The sequence below is a fragment of the Homo sapiens genome, chromosome 1 (genome assembly GCF_000001405.40).
Source record: "Homo sapiens chromosome 1, GRCh38.p14 Primary Assembly".
Taxonomy (NCBI): Eukaryota; Metazoa; Chordata; class Mammalia; order Primates; family Hominidae; genus Homo; species Homo sapiens.
Window position 1 is genome coordinate 159,082,540 of NC_000001.11, and position 19,033 is coordinate 159,101,572.

At 39.8% G+C, this 19,033-nt stretch overlaps 1 protein-coding gene across 3 annotated transcripts in view; it reads right to left on the minus strand.

The window, feature by feature from the left end:
- AIM2 (absent in melanoma 2) overlaps positions 1–19,033 on the minus strand; it is a 92,082-nt gene that overhangs the window by 27,489 nt on the left and 45,560 nt on the right. For 2 of the 3 annotated variants that reach the window (XR_007064924.1, XM_047434809.1), the window contains one exon: positions 9,030–9,132. The exons of the other annotated variant lie outside the window; for it this stretch is intronic. The gene's annotated coding sequence lies outside the window, so the exon portion shown is untranslated. The remainder of the gene's footprint in view (positions 1–9,029; positions 9,133–19,033) is intronic. 3 annotated transcript variants of the gene reach the window in all.

Here is a 19,033-nt window from a genome sequence, read left to right on the forward strand (position 1 = left end):
AAGCTGGACCCTAAGTCCTGGACAGCAGGTGTGCACCACCACACCTAGCAAGATGATGGCTTTTTGCTGTGTCCTCACATGGCAGAAGAGATGAAAGTGCTCCCTGGGCACTATCCCACGTAGTATAAGAGCACTAATCCTATTCACGAAGCCCATACCCTCAAGATCTAATCGCCTCCCCAAAGCCCCACCTCCTAATATCATCACATTAGGGGTTAGGATTTTAACATATGAATTTTGGGGGTAACACAAACATTCAGTCCACAAGGATGATGTCACCCCAGGATAATGGTGACCAGAAGCCCTTGAACCTTGACTTGTACACAGCTAGACTGAAACTTGTTCAAAACAGGGGGACGGAAAGCTCAAAAAAGAATATTTCCTAAGGAAAAAGTGTGTGAGATATATGTGTAAGTTTTGCAGGTAGTGGGTGGTTGCAGAGAAATTACCTGAATTTATTTTGAGAGAAATTTTACTGTTTTGGATCTTTTAAAAGAATTAGCAATAAGCACGTCAAGATGGAACAAATTATTAAAGATATGTCACTGACTTCAGAAAAAAATAAAGATGCATAAAGAAGGAATCTAAACATACTACATGGCTTAACTATTAGTTTTATTTAGATAGTTATGGTAATGTAAAACACCAAACAGTGATTTAATCAACAATTGTGAAATGACCATATTGGGAAAGTGGAAAGAGAGATGATGTACATGTATTTGTAAGATGTAGGGTTCCAACAATGTAAGAAAAGAGGTGTAAGAAAAGTAAATTTGTATCTTCTATTGCAGCAAATCAATAGATAATGGAGTGGCTAAAATTGAAAACTAGGAATGTAGCAATATTATGAAAGGTTAAAAAATGTTGCCTTGAGTGAGTGGGAATTGGGAGTGGTAAGGTATGAGGCAGGGGACTACTCTTTATTATCATCCTTGTAATATTATTGAATTTCAATCAATAGTAATATATTAACTGAATGAAAATAAATTTAAAACATAAATAGCTCTACTAAATGCTCATTGAAGTATCTTCCTATTCTAAGGATTTATATTCTATACCATTTAGCTCTACTAAATTTTAGCTCTACTAAATACTCACCCAAGTATCTTCCTATTCTAAGGATCTATATTCTATACTATCCTAAGGATCTACATTCTACACCATTAATCCAAATATGACCTATGATAAAATATAATAATATTTCAGAAATAGAATTCTTTACTTCCAGCTAAGTGAATTTGGAAAGGTCCAATTAGAGAAAAACAATAGCACTTGGACTAGTCCTATTGGAAGGAATAAGAGTTTTAACATGTGGAAATACAAAAAGTGGAATTCTAGGCCAATGGAATTGAATAGTCAATATTTATGGACCACCTATATATAACCAATTATTGATGCATTCTCTAGAGTCCCTAATTGCCTCTGGCACACAGAGCTAACCTTTACCACTCAGCCAGTAAGCCAATAAGTGAGAGATCTTTTTCACAGGCTATCTCATGTAACCCTACCACTCTATGTGGTAAATATATTAATTGAAACCCATAAGTGAGGGAACAGAGTTTAAAGAAGTTAAGTCATTTGCTCAAGGGTACCCTGCTAGTATGTGGTAGAGTCAGAATTTAAATCTGGTTATTTTCTAAAATTCCAATTCTCTTTCCATCACTCTGCCCTGCTTTTTGGCATATTTGTACATAATTTATATATTCTATATAATGTGATCAAATGAAAAAACCCTGGAGAGGCAGGGCCTTCCCTCCTCCAAGCCCACTTATTTCTGGTTCTCGCTCACCACATCCTTCCCTTCTCCTTTCACACAGCTCAAAACACAGCTAGACTTCCTACTGGAGAGAAAGCAACAATCTTGAACTGTTCAAGATTCCTACTGCAAACAACATAAGCTTCCCTTGATAGTTTAAGGAGACAGAAACTTTATTAAAAATATTAAACCCAGGCCAGGCACGGTGGCTCATGCCTGTAATTCTAGCACTTTGGGAGGCCAAGGCGGGGGAATCGCTTGAAGCCAGGAGTTCAAGTCCAGCCTGAGCAAAAAACGGCGACCTTATCTCTCCAAAGAATTTTAAAAATTAGCAGGGCTTGGTGACACATGCCTGTAGTCCCAATTACTTGGGAGGTTGAGGCAGGAGGATCACTTGATTGTCTAGGAGTTTGAGGCTGCAGTGAGTGGTGATCAAACCACTGCACTCCAGCCTGAGTGACAGAGCAAAACCCTGTCTGAAATACACACACACACACACACACACACACACACACACACATACAGACACACACACACATCCCTCAGAGATCACTGGAGAGTCTGAAGGACTGAAGGAACAAGGTCAAGACTAAACTCACAGAAAAAACAAAAATGTGTTTCCCACACCTTCTCCCTCCACCCACATACACACACACCAAACCAGGCAACAAAACTATTCTGGATAAGTTCACTGTTTCTGCTCCCTAAACATATAATGCCAAGACCTGACTACACTGCAATTGCTAAATCTACAGAACAAATGCCACTTCCGTATGTACTTCGCAATTGCTGCTATTGCCTAAAACCCAGATGTCTGAAGCCAGCCGCATCAGCAAGATGGAAACTCCATGGAGAGCCAGGTTCTCATGTTGATGACTTCTAAATCAAGCCTCCCTTGGAAGCATCTGACAGGGCAAGCCTAGGTCACCTGTGTCCATCTGGGCTGCAAGAAAAAAAAAATGAGAATCTGACTCCTGTCTTCTGAGTTGGGGACGTGAGAATTATTACATGTGAATTATTTAAAAGGTTCTGGGAAGGTACAAATGTGACACATGGCCACTAAAAACTCATTCAAGAGAGATAAGGATTCCAGAATTATTCCCAGATTTCTGGCTCAGGAAAGTAGGTGAATGATAGTGTCATTACAGAGACAGGGAGTACCCAAGGAGGAGTAGGTCAAAGTAAGTGAGGAAAATGTGGGTTTAGCGGTGGAGGTGTTGCGTTTGAGGTGCCCAAGAGATATGTAAATGGAGATGTTTAATTGAATATATAAGCCTGGAGCTTAGACGAAAGGTCAGAACTCCAGACAGTAACGTGGGCAGCATCCAAATACAGATGGCAGCTGATGCTGCAGAACAGGATGAGACTGTCAGGAGAGGCCATCATGAAGGAGAAGGGGGCAGGCCTCCAAGCCACGTAGAGCTCAGACAGCAAGTGGTTGGGCTAAAGAGGAAGAGTCAACAAGGAAGACTTACAAAGAAAGGTCAGAGCAGTAGAGAAAAGAAGCCAGACCTGGTGGAGTGCTGGAAGGCAAGGCAAAGAGTATTTCAAGGAAGATGGCACTCAGTGACGTAGTGTGTACTTGAGTATCGCTAAGAGAGTAGATCTTAAATGTTCTAACACACACACACTATGTGAGGTGGCAGACATGTTTATTAACTTTATCATTTCATAATGTACACAAATATCAAAACATCACGTTGTATACTGTAAATATACAATTTTTATTTGTTGATTATACCTCAATAAAGCTGGTGGTGGAGTGTGAGGGGAAAGAAGGATAGGGCTCAGATCTAGCAAATCCTGTTTCAGATCTAGGAAACATCCAACAGATAATTATTTGCTTCCACCAGATTTTACCCATCATTCTATGATGTTTAATTTGGTTTGCTCTACTTATATTTGATATCAATGTACTGAAACAGGGAGCAGGTAAAAAGGCAACAAGGGTGAGGCAAAAATATTAATAAAAGCCAGAGAACAGATCCTAAAGCTCTTCCAGCTTCTGAACCACCTATCTTTGTCCTCGTTGTCAGTGTCTCTCCTCTTTCCACCTCATAAACATGGATGCTTTGTTTGTGACATGAGGCTGCCTCTGTTTTCCTGTTGGCCAGCTCATCAGAGCGCTCTGGGGCCAGGCCCTTCCTGGCCTCCCTCTGCCCACATACACTAGGCTCCAGGTGAATCTGCACATACCTCGCCCTCTACTTCTCCTCCCCCATCTGGCTAATTCTTACTCACCCCCAGGTCCTTCTTTATATCTCACTTTCTCCAAAATTGTTTTCAAATCCTGCAAGCCCAAGTCTGAGCTAAGTGCTCCTGTTGTTTATTTTCCCATCATCTCCAGGACTTTCCATCACAGCAATAAAGTGGAAAGAAGTAAACTCACAGGCTTGGGCACTACACCCGTGCAAGTTAAAATCCCTGCTCCACCAACCTGTGTGGCCTTGAGTAAGTCTCTTAGTCTATTGAAGGCTGTCAGTCCCTAATCCTAGAAGGTGTTGTGAAAATTAAGAGTTTACATGTTTAAAACACTAAGCAAAGTAACTGAAAGAAAGAACTCAGTAAACTCTATCCATTATTATTATGACTATCAATATATTGTTTTATGAGGGCTAATGTCTTGTCTGCCTTTTTCAGTGAAGTGTAAACTCCTTAGGGGCAGAAACTGAATCTGTATAAAATAATTGCAAACTCAAATCACCAAGACTCACCACCTTAAAACTCCAAGTGTACATTTGAAACTTTGTGCTACACATTTTTATTTAAATACATAATGAAAAATTCAACCTCTACATATCCTAAATCATTGATTGTCTTAGGACTCTAAGTACTTTCTCATTCTTACTTCCCTTTTACTGTTAATGGAACCACAACTCTCCCACTGACCTAGGCTCCCAACCCAACAGTCTCTACTTCTTCGCTTTTCCTTGACTCCTACACTACTCAATGTCCTTTATATTGACAATACTAGTGATAGGGCTGAGTCAGGGTGATGGTAAGGATGATGGCAGTCAGGTGAGGTTGTGATAAAAAAAAAAAATGATCACCATGGCTGAGACTAAGTTAACCTTTAAGTGTCAGTGGAAGGAACCATACTTGTGCTGAACTGTGGAAGTATACCTGAAGACAAGGATGGGGGGATCAGGAGGACGATTCTGGTATTTATAGCCCACCATTTATATTAATCAATTATTAATAAATTCTTAATAACCTATGATGCCATCTGTGTGTTATAAAAAGCAATGCCAGGCTTTTTCTTTATTCTGGATAAAGTCTTTTTTTTTTTTTTTTTGAGATGGAGTCTTGCTCTGTCACCCGGGCTGGAGTGCAGTGGCGTGATCTCGGCTCACTGCAACCTCTGCCTCCTGGGTTCAAGCGATTCTCATGCTTCAGCCTCTGGAGTACCTTGGATTACAAGTGCCCACCACCACGCCCAGCTAATTTTTGTATTTTTAGTAGAGACGGGGTTTCACCACGTTGGCCAGGCTAGTCTTGAGCTCCTGACCTCAAGTGATCCGCCTATCTTGGCCCCCCAAAGTGCTGGAATTAGTTGTGAGCCACCGTGCCCAGCCAAGTCTACTTTTTTTAAATGTAATAGTGATAAGTGGCAGAGTTTGGTAGATTTCTGCATTGCCAGAGTGATCCTTTGATCCCTAAGTTTTTTTGCATAATTAAAAATTTTTCAGTTTATTCTTGCTTCTTTCCTGTTTCTCATTTAACAAAGTAGATGAAGGGAAATTACAAAATAGTGGAAAGATTTAATATAACTGGTGATAAGTTGAGTCTCTAGGTGGAACATCGGGTGGACAGAAAAAGAGGAAGAGGCATAGATGAGGCACAGGATGCTTTTGATGTTATCAGGCCTGCTTGAGGTCTGGGGGTGACTGAACTGCCTCTGGAAAATGGCTTTGAGGTATGTGACTGTGAGATGTGAGACACAGAAGTTATGTCTCTGACACTTGGATCCTACATCTTCCTGAACATGTGGCCAAGAAGTTTTTTCAATAAAAGAACATGCCTTAGAACCATGAGAGGAAGGAATGCCAGGATTCAGGAGCTGCATGAGTCAGCTGGGCCCGATGTTTGCTGCTTCATAATGCCAAGGGCATGACTTACAGCTTCAGTCTGGTTTTCCCCAATTCAATATCAAAACATATGCCTCCATGGAGGCAAATGATGTTCCTCCACCAAGAACCAGCTTCAATGAAACTGCAGTGTCTAAGTAACTGCAGCTTTTTCTTTCTATGTATTGATGTCTGACATGATTTAAATATTTGTCTCCTTCAAAACTCGTGTTGAAATTTAATCCCTGATGTGGTAATATTGACAGGTGGGGTCTTTAAGAGGTGATGAGTCGTGAGGGTTCTGCTCTCATGAATGGATTAATGGCTTAATGGACTAATAGCTTATGATGGGGTGGGGCTTGTGGCTTTAAAAGAAGAGGAAGAGAGACCTGAGCTAGCTCACTAAGCTGCCTCTCCATGTGATGCTCTCTGCTGCCTGGGGACTCTGCAGAGTCCCCACAAGCAAGAAGGCCCTCACCAGATGGGCTCCTCAACCTTGAACTTCTCGGCCTCGAGAACTGTAAAAAATACATTTTGTTTCTTTATAAATTACCCAGTTTCAGGTATTCTGTTATAAGCAACACAAAATGGACTGAAACAATGACTAAGAGCAGCTGTGTTCACAGGTATCTCCATTTTCACATTTTAACTTAGTTCATCACCAAACCCATTACATCTTACTTCCCTCCTTCATACTTTATTCAAAGAAAACACTGACGAATTTCTTAAGAAAACTTGGTTAAGGACTGTCATTTGTATGAGATGGAAAAAGAGACCATTTCTGGCAAGTGAGACGAGCTGTGAGCTTCTGACCTAGGTGCTTATAAGCATTATTTCAATTTAATATTCCTAACAATCCTGCAAAGTGAGTACCGTCATTATTCTTATTTTATAGATGAGAAAATAGAGGCTTAGCGGTGTTTGTGAATGGACTAAGGTCATACAATTAGTGAATGGTAGAAATAAGATTTGAACTTCATCTGGTGTAGCCAAAGCACATCCTCCTAAGCACTAAAAAACACTGCCTCCTGGTGGCAAGATGAAGAAGTTCAACTCCATAACCAAAAGGATAAAAACCAAGGTAGATCAGGATAGAAGCACAGAAGGTAGACATAAAGCATGTCACTTGCTTAAAGAAGCCCCTGTGTTGGATTGTTTGTTCAACCCCCTTACCTACAGGCTCCCCTGCTTAGTTTCACTATCTGGTTCTCCCTTAAGAAGTTTCTTTCCTAGTTTCACTCCTTTACTCTCAGGATAGCTGAATGCAAAACCAAACAAACAAACACAGGATCACTCTGCTTAGTTCTTTAAATTATGTACCAGTCAAAACAAAAATGGCCACTCAAAACATGTACCCTGAGTCCCAGAATCACACAATCATAAGAATATACACATGGTTTCCTACGACGAAGTTATTCTTCTAAGCTTTCCATAAATCACTGCTCTTTCATCTCTGCCCTACCTATTCTATCGGTTTTTAGTTCAGTAACTATTTGTTTTCAGTAACTGGACCCTAGACCCTTCAACCAGACAACCAAAGTGCCTATTTTCCCAGCTGCTAGAAGTGTTACAGCTGACACCTGAGTCTGTGTTCCAGGACTGCCCTATGCTGAAGGGAACTGCCTTCCCCAAGGTTGCATCCTTCCATGGAGAAAGCCTGAAGCCAAGGATTTAGGGTCTATGAGGAGGTTCAAGGTCACAGCCTTCTTGCCTCACTTAGGCATAACTAGAGGCCATCCCAGCTCTAGGGTTCCCAGGGGGATTGGCTGCAGCCCTCACTGCAATTTAACTTCTCCCTCCGCCCAACCCAGTTTCCCTCTCTCCTTTATAGGTGTTCCCAAGAGCACCCTCTAATAAACTTCTTGCAGGCAAATCTAACAGTCTGTTTCTTGGGGACCCAACATAAGACAACATTCAACTCTTAACTTCAGTCATATTCACAAATACTGTCACTTTAAATAAAGTGCAGGAATGCAGTGTAAAGATACATACACCAGAAAAAGATGTGACTATAAAGTGCAAAAATATACCAGAATGTAAAAATAATACATGAATTTAAAGTCCATGAATCAGTCTCTCTCGCATACTGCTAGAAAGCGTGTGACTGCTTCACATTTCATAATTTTGTCATTGTAATTGTCATCACGCCACTAAAATTCCATGCCTTTCAATTTTTGTTTTTGTTTCTATCTCTAAATAAAAATGTTTATTTAAATGCCTTCTATGGACACTTCAGACCAAGTCCAAAACTTTACCTTAAGGTGAAAACTCTTACTATTTTTCCTACAAGGTTGTGTTTGGGAGGTTATTCATTTGTCTTTTATTTTTTACCATGAGCTGTTTGTCTAGTCTCCTGACATGGTAACTGGAGACACAGATCCCTCTGTCAGAGTCAGCATCAAACATGTGTAAGGCATGTTTTGACTCTAGCAAACCATCAGGGAAATAATTTTTGATCGTTCTTTGAGTTAAAATTGTCTTTTACATTGATGCTAAAGACTTTCCCTAAGCAACCTCTACCACATTAGCATAAAGTGTCTGAGTTTCAAAGATTCCACCTCAAATGGCTCCCTTGTGTTCAGCACCATCACTCCCTCCTGGTATTCTTCTTCCTGAGTAACTTCCTATTGACCTCCTTTCCCTTTCAGTCTCTTGCTGAAATGGAAACATCAGAATGAAGGGGCAGGCTGTATGTGGGAAAGATGAATCACCATTAAATGAGAAACCTCAATCCTAATGCTAGTCTTGTAGAAATTGGCTTGTATGGTCCTGAGAATGGTAAAAATAATTAATACAAATAACTTTAAACATTACTTAATAAAGTAACAAATAATACAGCTAGAAAAGAGAATGATAGGATAAAGGTTACATTTTTTATATTTAGCCATTCTTGGTCTTATAAGTGTAGAAGACAGAAAAGCTTGTGTCCAATCCTATTAATACCTTAAAGCCATGTGTGGCATTACAACCACTGAAAAAATGCTGGGTAGAGTCAGTCCACAATGACATGCTTGTCACGACGTGCTTTGGCAGGTTCTGCCTTTCCCTTTACTTATTCTAGGCTGGGTCCCTTTTGACTACTGTCAGCAGTGAAGAGGAGGAGAAACTCCTCTGATTTCTGAAGATTCACAAGTTACAAGACTATCTTATATGCTTGAGGATGGCCAGCATGTAACTGGTGACAATGAACAAAATTATATACTTACAAAGTGCAATCGTTACATTATCCTGATCATCTCTTGTGTTGACAGCAATCTGTAGGATGGGATGAATCAAGGCAGCCAGCTGAAGTCCTGCCCTCTGGATGCCCTTGGGGGAAGGTATTTGGAGAGTAACTTAGGGGGTGATGTATAAAGGATGTGGTAACAAATGTTATGAGTGTGTGTGTGTTCACTGACACACCAGCAATTGCCAAAGCAAAAATGGTGGCTTCGTCCCTCTCTATTGAAAAGGGCCTGCTTAGAATGTGGATGCTTAAACTGCTGTCACCTATAAAAATATTCTAGCATGAAAGGGGCCTCAAGGATACACAAAACAGAAAGTAAATGGTATCCACTGAAGTTAGCAATGTAGCAGGGCCACAGGAAACAGAGGGTGATTGCCCAAGGGCACACACACCCTAAACATAGTCCTATTTCTAATGTTCAAATTAAGGAAAAAAACAATTAAGTGAAATCCTTAGGTGAGTCATCTTATCATGAATTAAAAATTATTGAAAAAAGAGGGCAATTATAACCTAACAATTCTAATTCCTGATATTTGCTGTAGGAAACAAATATATAAACTCATTTAAATAAATGACTATTCACAATTTTAGCAGTAAAACATGAAAATATTATCTGAACATGCAAAACTAAGAGACTAACCACCAAAGTGACTCAGGAAATGATTCACCATGTTGCATAAGCTGAAAACAATTAAGTTACTACATAATATGTAGAAGATGGCCTAAATGTTATAAATATATATATGCAGCAGGAGTTTGTAATAGCAGATAACAATTTTAGCCCTAACTATGAATAAGTTAAACTCCAAAAACATACTCCGCAATTACACAGATTAGAGACTGGCCCCTCTTCTGGACCCAGGCCCACATTATCAGACTGAAGGAGGTTAAAGCTTATTTTCTGAGGACAAGGAAGAACACGGTGAAGGGTAAGGTGGGAGAGGTGGGGAAGCATAGGCAACATCATGTCAGGAAGTGGAGAAGGAGGTGAATCCTCATGTCCTAAGTATTCTCTAGGCCCAGCCACAACTCTGGGAATAGGAACAATTGTACCTACGTTCAGACAGAGAAACCAAGATGCAGAGGAAAGAGGATAGGTTACTTGCCTGAGGTTACAAAGGTGTAAGTAGAGGAGTCAAAATTTGATCCCAGGGGCTGGACACACTGGCTCACGCCTGTAATCCTAGAACTTTGGGAGGCCTAGGTGGGCGGATCAATTGAGGTCAGGAGTTCGAAACCACCCTTGTCAACATGGTGAAACCCCATCTCCATTAAAAATACAAAAAAATTAGCTGAGTATGGTGGTGGGCACCTGTAATCCCAGCTACTTGGGAGGCTGAGGCAGGAAAATTGCTTGAACCCAGGAGGCGGAGGTTGCAGTGAGCCAAGATCGCGCCACTACACTCCAGCCTCGGTGACAGAGTGACGCTCCGTCTCAAAATAAATAAATAAAAATAAATAAATAAATAAATAAATAAATAATTTGATCCCAGAACTTTTACTTCCAGAGGCTGAAATCTTAACCCCATACCATTCTGATTTCGCATAAATAAAATACTGAAAGCACATTAACCCATACAAATACACAAACACACGCAACTTCATGACACTAATGGAAAAGAAGTACTAATGACAGCATATATATAATTCTACAAGATCTAGCATGATACTTCAATTCCCCTTCTCAGCTATACAATATTAAAAGGCATCTAAATTTCCTGAGGGTCAGTGCAGTGACGTAGCCAGAACACACTGAATTCTGGGAGAAAAATTGGATTTAATATTTCTTACAGATTAACAAATCTTATTCACTGCTGGTAGCATAGGGAGATACAACTTGTTTGGAACATAATGCTGTATTATCTATTAATTTTGAAGACACATACATCTTATGACACAGCACTCCCAGTCCCAGCAAGACTTTTAGCAGCACTGTTAAAGCCAAAAAACGGGGAAACCTGTCAAAGGGACAAATAAATTGTGGCATATTCATGGATACTCATGTGCTGGAATACATTACAGCTGTGAAAATGAACTGCAGTTATGACATAATGAAGATCAGCAAGTTACAGAGGAATGTATATAACATTTTATTTATTTAGAAAATATATATATACATATATATGTATGTGTATATATATATACAGAGAGAGAGAGAGAGAGAGAGAGACGGAGTCTTGTTCTGTCACCAGGCTGGAGTGCAGTGGCACAATCTCGGCTCACTGCAACCTCCACCTCCCAGGTTCAAGTGATTCCCCTGCCTCAGCCTCCCGAGTAGCTGGGATCACAGGCGCCTACCACCATGCCTGGATATTTTTTTTTTTTTGTATTTTAGTAGAGATGGGGTTTCACCATATTGGCCAGGATGGTCTCGATCTCCTGACCTCATGATCCACCTGCCTCGGCCTCCTAAAGTGCTGGGATTACAGGCGTGAGTCACTGCACATGGCATATTTAAATTATAAAAATTTGTAAAAACTTAATATATTGTTCATTGTTATAAAACTTAAATGAAAAGCAGAGAGATAATAAGACACAAAATTTAGTCGTAACTTCAGGGAACTGGAAAGTGGCTAGAACCAGAGGACAGACGGGAACTTCAGAAATAATGATAACACTCTATTAGGTTGGTGCAAATGTAATTGCAGTTTTTCCCATTTAAAAGTAATGGCAAATGCCACAGCTACTTGTGCACCAACCTAATACTAATATTTCATAAATTGGGTGGTAGGTACATAGCTATTCATTGAGCTGGTGTACTTTTACATCTTAAACATGTGCTTAAAAGTATTCTGTATGCAGTATTCAACAATTTTAAGAAATCAAGGCCAGGTGCAGTGGCTCATGCCTGTAATTCCAGCACTTTGAGAGGCCGAGGTGGGTGGATCACTTGAGGTCAGGAGTTCGAGACCAGCCTGGCCAACATGGTGAAACTTTGTCTCTACTAAAAATATAAAAACTTAGCTGAGCTTGGTGGCGTGCACCAGTAATCCCTGCTACTCGGGAGGCTGAAGCTGGAGAATCGCTTGAAACTAGGAGGCAAAGGTTGCAGTGAGCCAAGATTGCATTACTGCACTCCAGCCTGGGCGACAGAGCGAGACTCTGTCTCCGAAGAAAAAATGAAAAGAAAACAAATCAAATGTTCTCACTGAATTTTTTTAAGTATTGGTAACTTGACATACCATACAAATTTTTTGCAATGATTTATGAAATTTACATTTTAAAAATCAACTTTCCAAAATTGAGAATGTCATTTTACCTTTTTGCTTTGTATGTCTAATTTATTTGGGGCCAATTATTCTTAGTCTAGGCTGCTTATGCGAAAAAGGTAAAAAAAAACCCTGAATATCAAAAAAATTATTATTTCTTTTATTAAGCCCATTTCTTTTTGTCTCTGTTACAAAAGCGGGCAATTTAAATCATTACTGAAAAAAAATCCAGAAAATGTAGCCAAACAAAAGCAGACAAAGAACAACACTCATAATCCCATCATCCAGAGAGAGAAGCACTACAGGTATTAACTCTTCTGCAGAAATCCCTTCAGATCATTTTCATTGCTATCCGTAAATTAATATAATTATGGAAAGTGTTTATTTTTGTTGTACATGCTTTATCATCAAGCATTATAGTCAGTCTAAATCAAAAGGAAGAAAACATTTAAATCTATCCCTTCTCTCTGTCTCTGTATCCTAAGGGATTTGTGAAATGATTCAGCCATTTCCCCGAGGCAGAAAAAAAAATAAAGCATGATAGAGAATAGTTTTTGTTACAAATGTCAACTCGAATCAATTTGGTAGTGGTTGCATGTACTTGAGCCATGAATTCTCAGTACTGAGGGCTCAGGAAGAGAAAGGTGAAGTAAGAGCATTGAGACCTTGTATCTGCCACCCGGGCCTACAGGGCCTCTGCTTATGTGACAGCTGTTACCTCTGTTTCCCCAGCTACGTGCTCAAGAATGCTCTCTGCTATGTTCTGCACTTTTTTCTGGACCTTCCTCCTTTGCTGAAAGATACCTAGTTTACTCTGTCTGATATAGAAAATGTATGTAAATTAAGAATTTTAAGGTACCACGTTTGTCTTGAAGTGAAAAAAAAATACTCTTAAAATATTATAAAGGATGCTTGGAAATCTGTAGTGGTTAGAAGTATTTAACATTTTAGTCTCTTAATTGGCAATATCATACATTGTATATTATCAAGAGTTCCCTAAGAAGGTAAGACCACTGAAAAGGAGAGCCTCAAAATTTCAATTCAATGCTTTATACTGGTGACTATGGATGTTCATTTTTCATTTCAGGGATATTATAGTGAAAGGAGGGATCAAATTGAGAAGAAATTGCAAAGAGTATGGAATTAGACTAGGGTCTCATATATTAAATCTCAATAAAATTTGAGACATCACATAATAAAGGTCCATTTTCATAAAATCTCATGTTACCACAAGCCAGATTATAAGCTGTCTTGGTAGAGTACATCTGGGCTTTGGGATGACTCCACTACCAGAGACAAGGGTGCTGGTTCCTGATTCAACATAAACACAATGCTACTGTAGGCTGAAAAGATCCTTCTTTAATTAGTTGTCCCAGCCTTCTCCTTTGTGCTTCAAGACAGGCAACTTTGTGTAGTAGAAAAAGCAGACACTTAAAACATTTTTAATGCATCTTCAAATCCTACTTCATTCACTAGCTAGTTGGCCTTGGGAGGGTTACTTAGCCTCTCTCTCTCTGATTCTTGTCTGTAAAATAAAAATATAATGCCTATCTTGCAGTAATGTTGTGAAAAGAAACAGGATAATGTGTGAATCACCTAGCACAATGAATAGCTCATAGTCTGAGCTTAATAAATGTTGGATGTGTCATGTATACCAGGGGAATAATAATATAGTATTTAATAAGTAAATTGCTATTTATTTTCATTTTAAAAATTTTATGGATTTTGGTGCTCTATATATCCACGGGCTCCTTTTCCAGCTTTAAGAGACAATTTAAATTTATTTCTTTGTAAGACTGCCTCTCTAAACTTTTCATAATTTCTGTGGCTTGCCATTTCTTTCCTGAGGTATGATCATAGACAGAATTGCAAAAGGCACTCTCAAGGCAGACACACCATGGCTCAGTAGACTCAGAGCTGGGACCAACCAGAAGAAGAATGCCTGTAACTATTTGTAGGTACCAGCAGGCTGGAGAGCACAGGTATGACATGGGCTGCTTCAAGACTTAGAGGTAACTTTCATTCCCTGAGGGTGAAGGATGATGGGGGGAATGGGGGGTATACAGAGACTAAACTGGCCTTTAGCGACAAAAACAAACAAAAAGTATTCCCTTCATCCTTCGATATTGTCACCTGCTTGTGATCTAGGTGATTTCCTACTCATTAGGTTGCTCTGAGATTTAGGCAGCTCCAAGGCACAGAAAATCTGGGATTGTAAAAAAGAAAATAAAGTCGGGAAGTAGGCAGATCCCTACCTCTCTTTCACCCCTACAAGGGCATGAATTCTTGAGCTGCAGGAGACAGAAAAGTCTGAATTCTGCCCCAGTCTCAGGCAAACCGCTAAGTCTTGTAACTGTGTAGTCTCTGAGACCTGACATTCCTTACTAGCCACTGTGCCAATACATCAGATTCTCAGCCCCTGCTCAGGATGAAGCCCTTTCACATACATATTTTATGTCATTTTAACAATAAAATTAGGAAATATCTCCCCAAATTTCATAACAGAATAAATTAGAAGGAATTAGAAGCAGAGGCTTCTAACTCCAAGGTGAATTATTGTCCCCTGGGCCATAGCTACATCCTCCCACTCTTTATTCCTTCCAGTCCCCTCACCTCCCAGCCTGCAACCCAAAATATTATCTTTAGGAAACTTTCACCAAATGTGGACACACACAATTTCACAGCCATAATGAAGAGCAGAATTATGCTAAGAACAGAGAGATAGTACAAGATAGTACAAGTAATTATACAGTAGGCAATCCAAGTGAGAATGGATTTTGGAACCAGAATGCCTGGGCTCACATCCTCATTTCTCCACTTAACTGAGTTATCTGAGTAATCTTGGTCAAGTCCCTTCCCCTTCTATGTTTAAATTTCCTTATCTGTCAAATGGAGATAATAGTAGTACCTATTTAATGAAGTTGTTGTGAGGATCACATAAGTTAATGTACATGAAACACTTAGACGAATGCTTATTATATGACACAAACTATAAGTATTAATTCACATTACCAAATCGGCAAATCAATTTTCTAACTCAAGAATTGCAGGCACTGAAACCACTCAACCACAAAGGAGAAATAAAGTGAAAACGCCATTCTGAGACAGTGTTACATTCCCAGTAAGGGTCTTCTTCGTTTTTCTCATTTTGTACACCTCCAGAGAATTTATGAAAACACATTTTTAAAAATCTCTATGGTATAGTTCAGAGTTGAGTCAGAATAAGCAATTTCTACAGTGAATTCAGATATCTTAAGCCTACCAGCTAATGCTAGCTATGTGAAGACCTTTCACATACCCAATAATGATCATTTAAATATCTTAAATCCATCAGTGTAGATATCCAAATCCTTTTGAGACAGAATTTTTTCACATTGAACTTTCATCTCACCATGGAAAAGAATAACCACTAAGAGACACACAATCTACAGATTATGTGCCCAACTTTCTTCATATTGTCGGCACAAGCCAGGCACTGTGCTGGCCCTGAGAAATACAACAGAGAGCTATACAGACAGTCCCTTACCTCATAGAGCTGAAAATTGAGAGTCGTGTGTGCTCTCCAACAGTTGCCACTAACCGTATATGACTATTTCAGCTCAAAATTAATTAAAATTAAATATTAATAAAAGTAAAAATGTATTTCTTCAGTCATGCTAGCCACATTCCAAGTGTTTCATAGTCATATGTGCTTAGCGGCTACTGTAGTGGACAACAGAGATATAGAATATTTCCAGCGTTATAAAAAGTTCTATTGTGTATTGCTGACCTAGAGAAAGATAAAAATAAGTACACAGGCAATGAGAATACAGTGTGAAAATGCTATGACAGAAAAACACGGGATGCTGAAGGAAAAATCCATAAAGTCAGACTTGGTAAGAGATAGGGATTAGAGAAAAATTCCTAGAGTTAGTGACATCTAAGCTGAGATTGTTTGTTTAACAAACATCTTCTGAGCATGTGCCATACTCCATATGTACCATGTGCTGGAGATACAGGAAAGAATAAACAAAGGCTCTTTCTCATGGAGCTTTAGCGGAGGAAGATAATAGACAAACACACTCCTGAGATAGTTTCTGGTTATGATGAGTGCTATGGAGAAAAAAACAGGATAACAAAAAGAGACTACTTCAATCCACTGAAAAGGTAGGACTCGGTTGAGTCTGAGAGTCTTAAAAACATAGTGGCACAAGCTTCATGGTTGTGTGATTTTTTTTTTTTTTCCATCAGTGCTCAGTCACTCTGGAGAAAGTTCAAGAAAGTCAGACTGTTGGGGTCTTGTAACAGTAGAATGGTGGGTCCATAGAATTAAGAGTATGGCAAGGGTTATTAATGCTCAGGACCATGAAATCCAACTTTAACAGAAAAGGCAGTGAAGACAGGTGGACTAATACACACTGAGAAAATAGGTCGAAAATTGCAGATCTGAATGGGGCAAGAGGAGACAAAGGGCAGGGACAACTGGCCACAGGATTGAAAGGACAGTCAGAGAGCCAGGTAGGCAATGGTTAGAGAGCGAAATGTTCAAATTTTATTGTTCAGAGAAGAAAAGTTCCAGGGAGCGGCCATAGAACTGGGTGGACAAAAGAAACTAGAGGTGAAAGCAATGCAGGTGAAAATGCATAGATGTGAGATTCTGACTTGCCCCTTAAGGCACGACTCAGGATTCATTCCACAAGGTCACCATAGACCTACTTTGTTTTTTTTCCCTCCCAAAGACTACTAGACCTATCACATCACTCTGTGCCCATTTCAGGGAACAACTTTTCTTTTTTCAAGTCACCTACTTGGATTGAAAGTAGGAACATAACTACATCTGTTAATGGGCTGGTGTCTGCTCAGATCAGCAACCAAGTACCCAAATTCCCCAGCTGGAATTGATTCTCCTTGATAGAGAATGCCCTACAGCTCTAGGATCCTCCCATGATCCCAGCAAAAGCCAGAGGATCACTTATTCTTGGCTTTCAGGCCTAACCTTGCCTGTAAAAACAAGATCAGTCTAAGACAACGGAGACTCACTTAAAGAGCAGCAAGAAAATCCCCTAGCCTCAAATAATTCCCCCAACTGGGTTTACATTTGCACATTGGCTTTAATAACTGCCTTCTCTGGCCTTAAAAAAAATGAGAGCAAAATGTCATTCTTACTCCCAGCCTTTCCCCTCATTTTAGCTTCTACCGTGAGAATCGTTTGTGCTTCAGCCAAGGCTCCATAGTCTGCAACCAAATTAGGAACCCTGACACCATGCCCACAATAAGTGAACTGGCAGATAAAACCTGGCAAAATCATCATGCAAAGTAAACTTTCCAGAAACATGGTCTGCCCTTTCTCTACCTTATAATGCCTAGGGTATTCCTACTTACCCTTCCAGACCTTGCTCTTTTGACTCTCCATGTTAATGAAGACTTTTGCAACCCTTAGCCACCTTCACCTATAAAACACTTTCTCCTATATGACACTACTGTTTCTCTACTGCAACTTTAAAAAAATCTATCTGGTCACCTTATAAAACCATTTGTGTTGGGAAATGATTTTTTTAAGTTCATCTTTATTTTTCTGGTACTCTTGTAATATCTAATACATCAAATGTATGTAATGAATATTTTTGGTAGAAAAGAAGAAAAAGTAGGACCAAGGGAAAGAGGGAGGAAGGAAAGAAAGAGTGCATGAAATCAGGAAGGAGAGGAACAATGGGTCAGTTGGAGAGAAATGATGAAATTCTAGATGTTCCTATTAAAAAAGGTGGAGGCAGGAATAAGTAGAGAAGTGGCTATGAAACCTATTCTGAACCTAAGTTGGCATTAGTCTCTAGAGTCTAGAAAGTCTATAATGTTCCTTTACAACAATTGAATCTGCATTCCTGTGTTGTCTTACATTTTACCTGTAGAGGAAAGCAAAGCTTAGTGAAGAGGAAGCTAAAGTCAAAGACCTGGTTCTTGGTTGTGTGGCTAGTTGGTCCTGTGACCCCGAATGAACCACTTAAACCCCCTGAATCTCAGTGTCAGCAGGCTAGTCATATCTGCTCTATGTCCTTCTGGGGAAGTTCAAGTGAGATAATGGAAGTGAAAAATCTTTGTAAAATCTAAAGGGCACTGAGGATGGATGAAATTTCTGTCACTGGATTTATAGCTACATGGCTTCCAGATCTACTGTCCCCCAGGCTGAAGTGTAGATTCAGTTGACTCAGGCTGTCTCATCTACATACATAACAAGAAGTACACCTCACTTTCACCTCACTTTCATCACAGATAAGTTAGACAACATCACATATACTCATATGATATGGTTTGGCTCTGTGTCCCCACCCAAGACTCACCTTGAATTGTAATAAGCCCCACGTGTTGTAGGAGGGACCTGGTGGGAGGTAATTGGATCATGGGGCTGTTGGGGGCAGGGGGCGGGGGTGGTTTCTCCATGCTGTTCCCATGATATCGAGTGGGTTCTCATGAGATCTGATGGTTTTATGTGTCTGGCATTTCCCCTTCTGGCACTCATTCTCTCTCCTGCTGCACTGTGAAGGGGTGCCTTCTGCCTAGATTGTAAAATTCCTGAGGCCTCCCCAGCCATGCAGAACTGTGAGTCAATTAAACCTCTTTTCTTTATAAATTACCCAGTCTCGAGTATTTCTTCATAGCAGCATGAGTATGAACTAATACGGTAAATTGGTACTGAGACAGTGGGGCACTGCTGTAAAGATACCCGAAAATGTAGAAGCGACTTTGGAACTAGGTAACAGGCAGAGGTTAGAACAGTTTGGAAGGCTCAGAAGAAGACAAG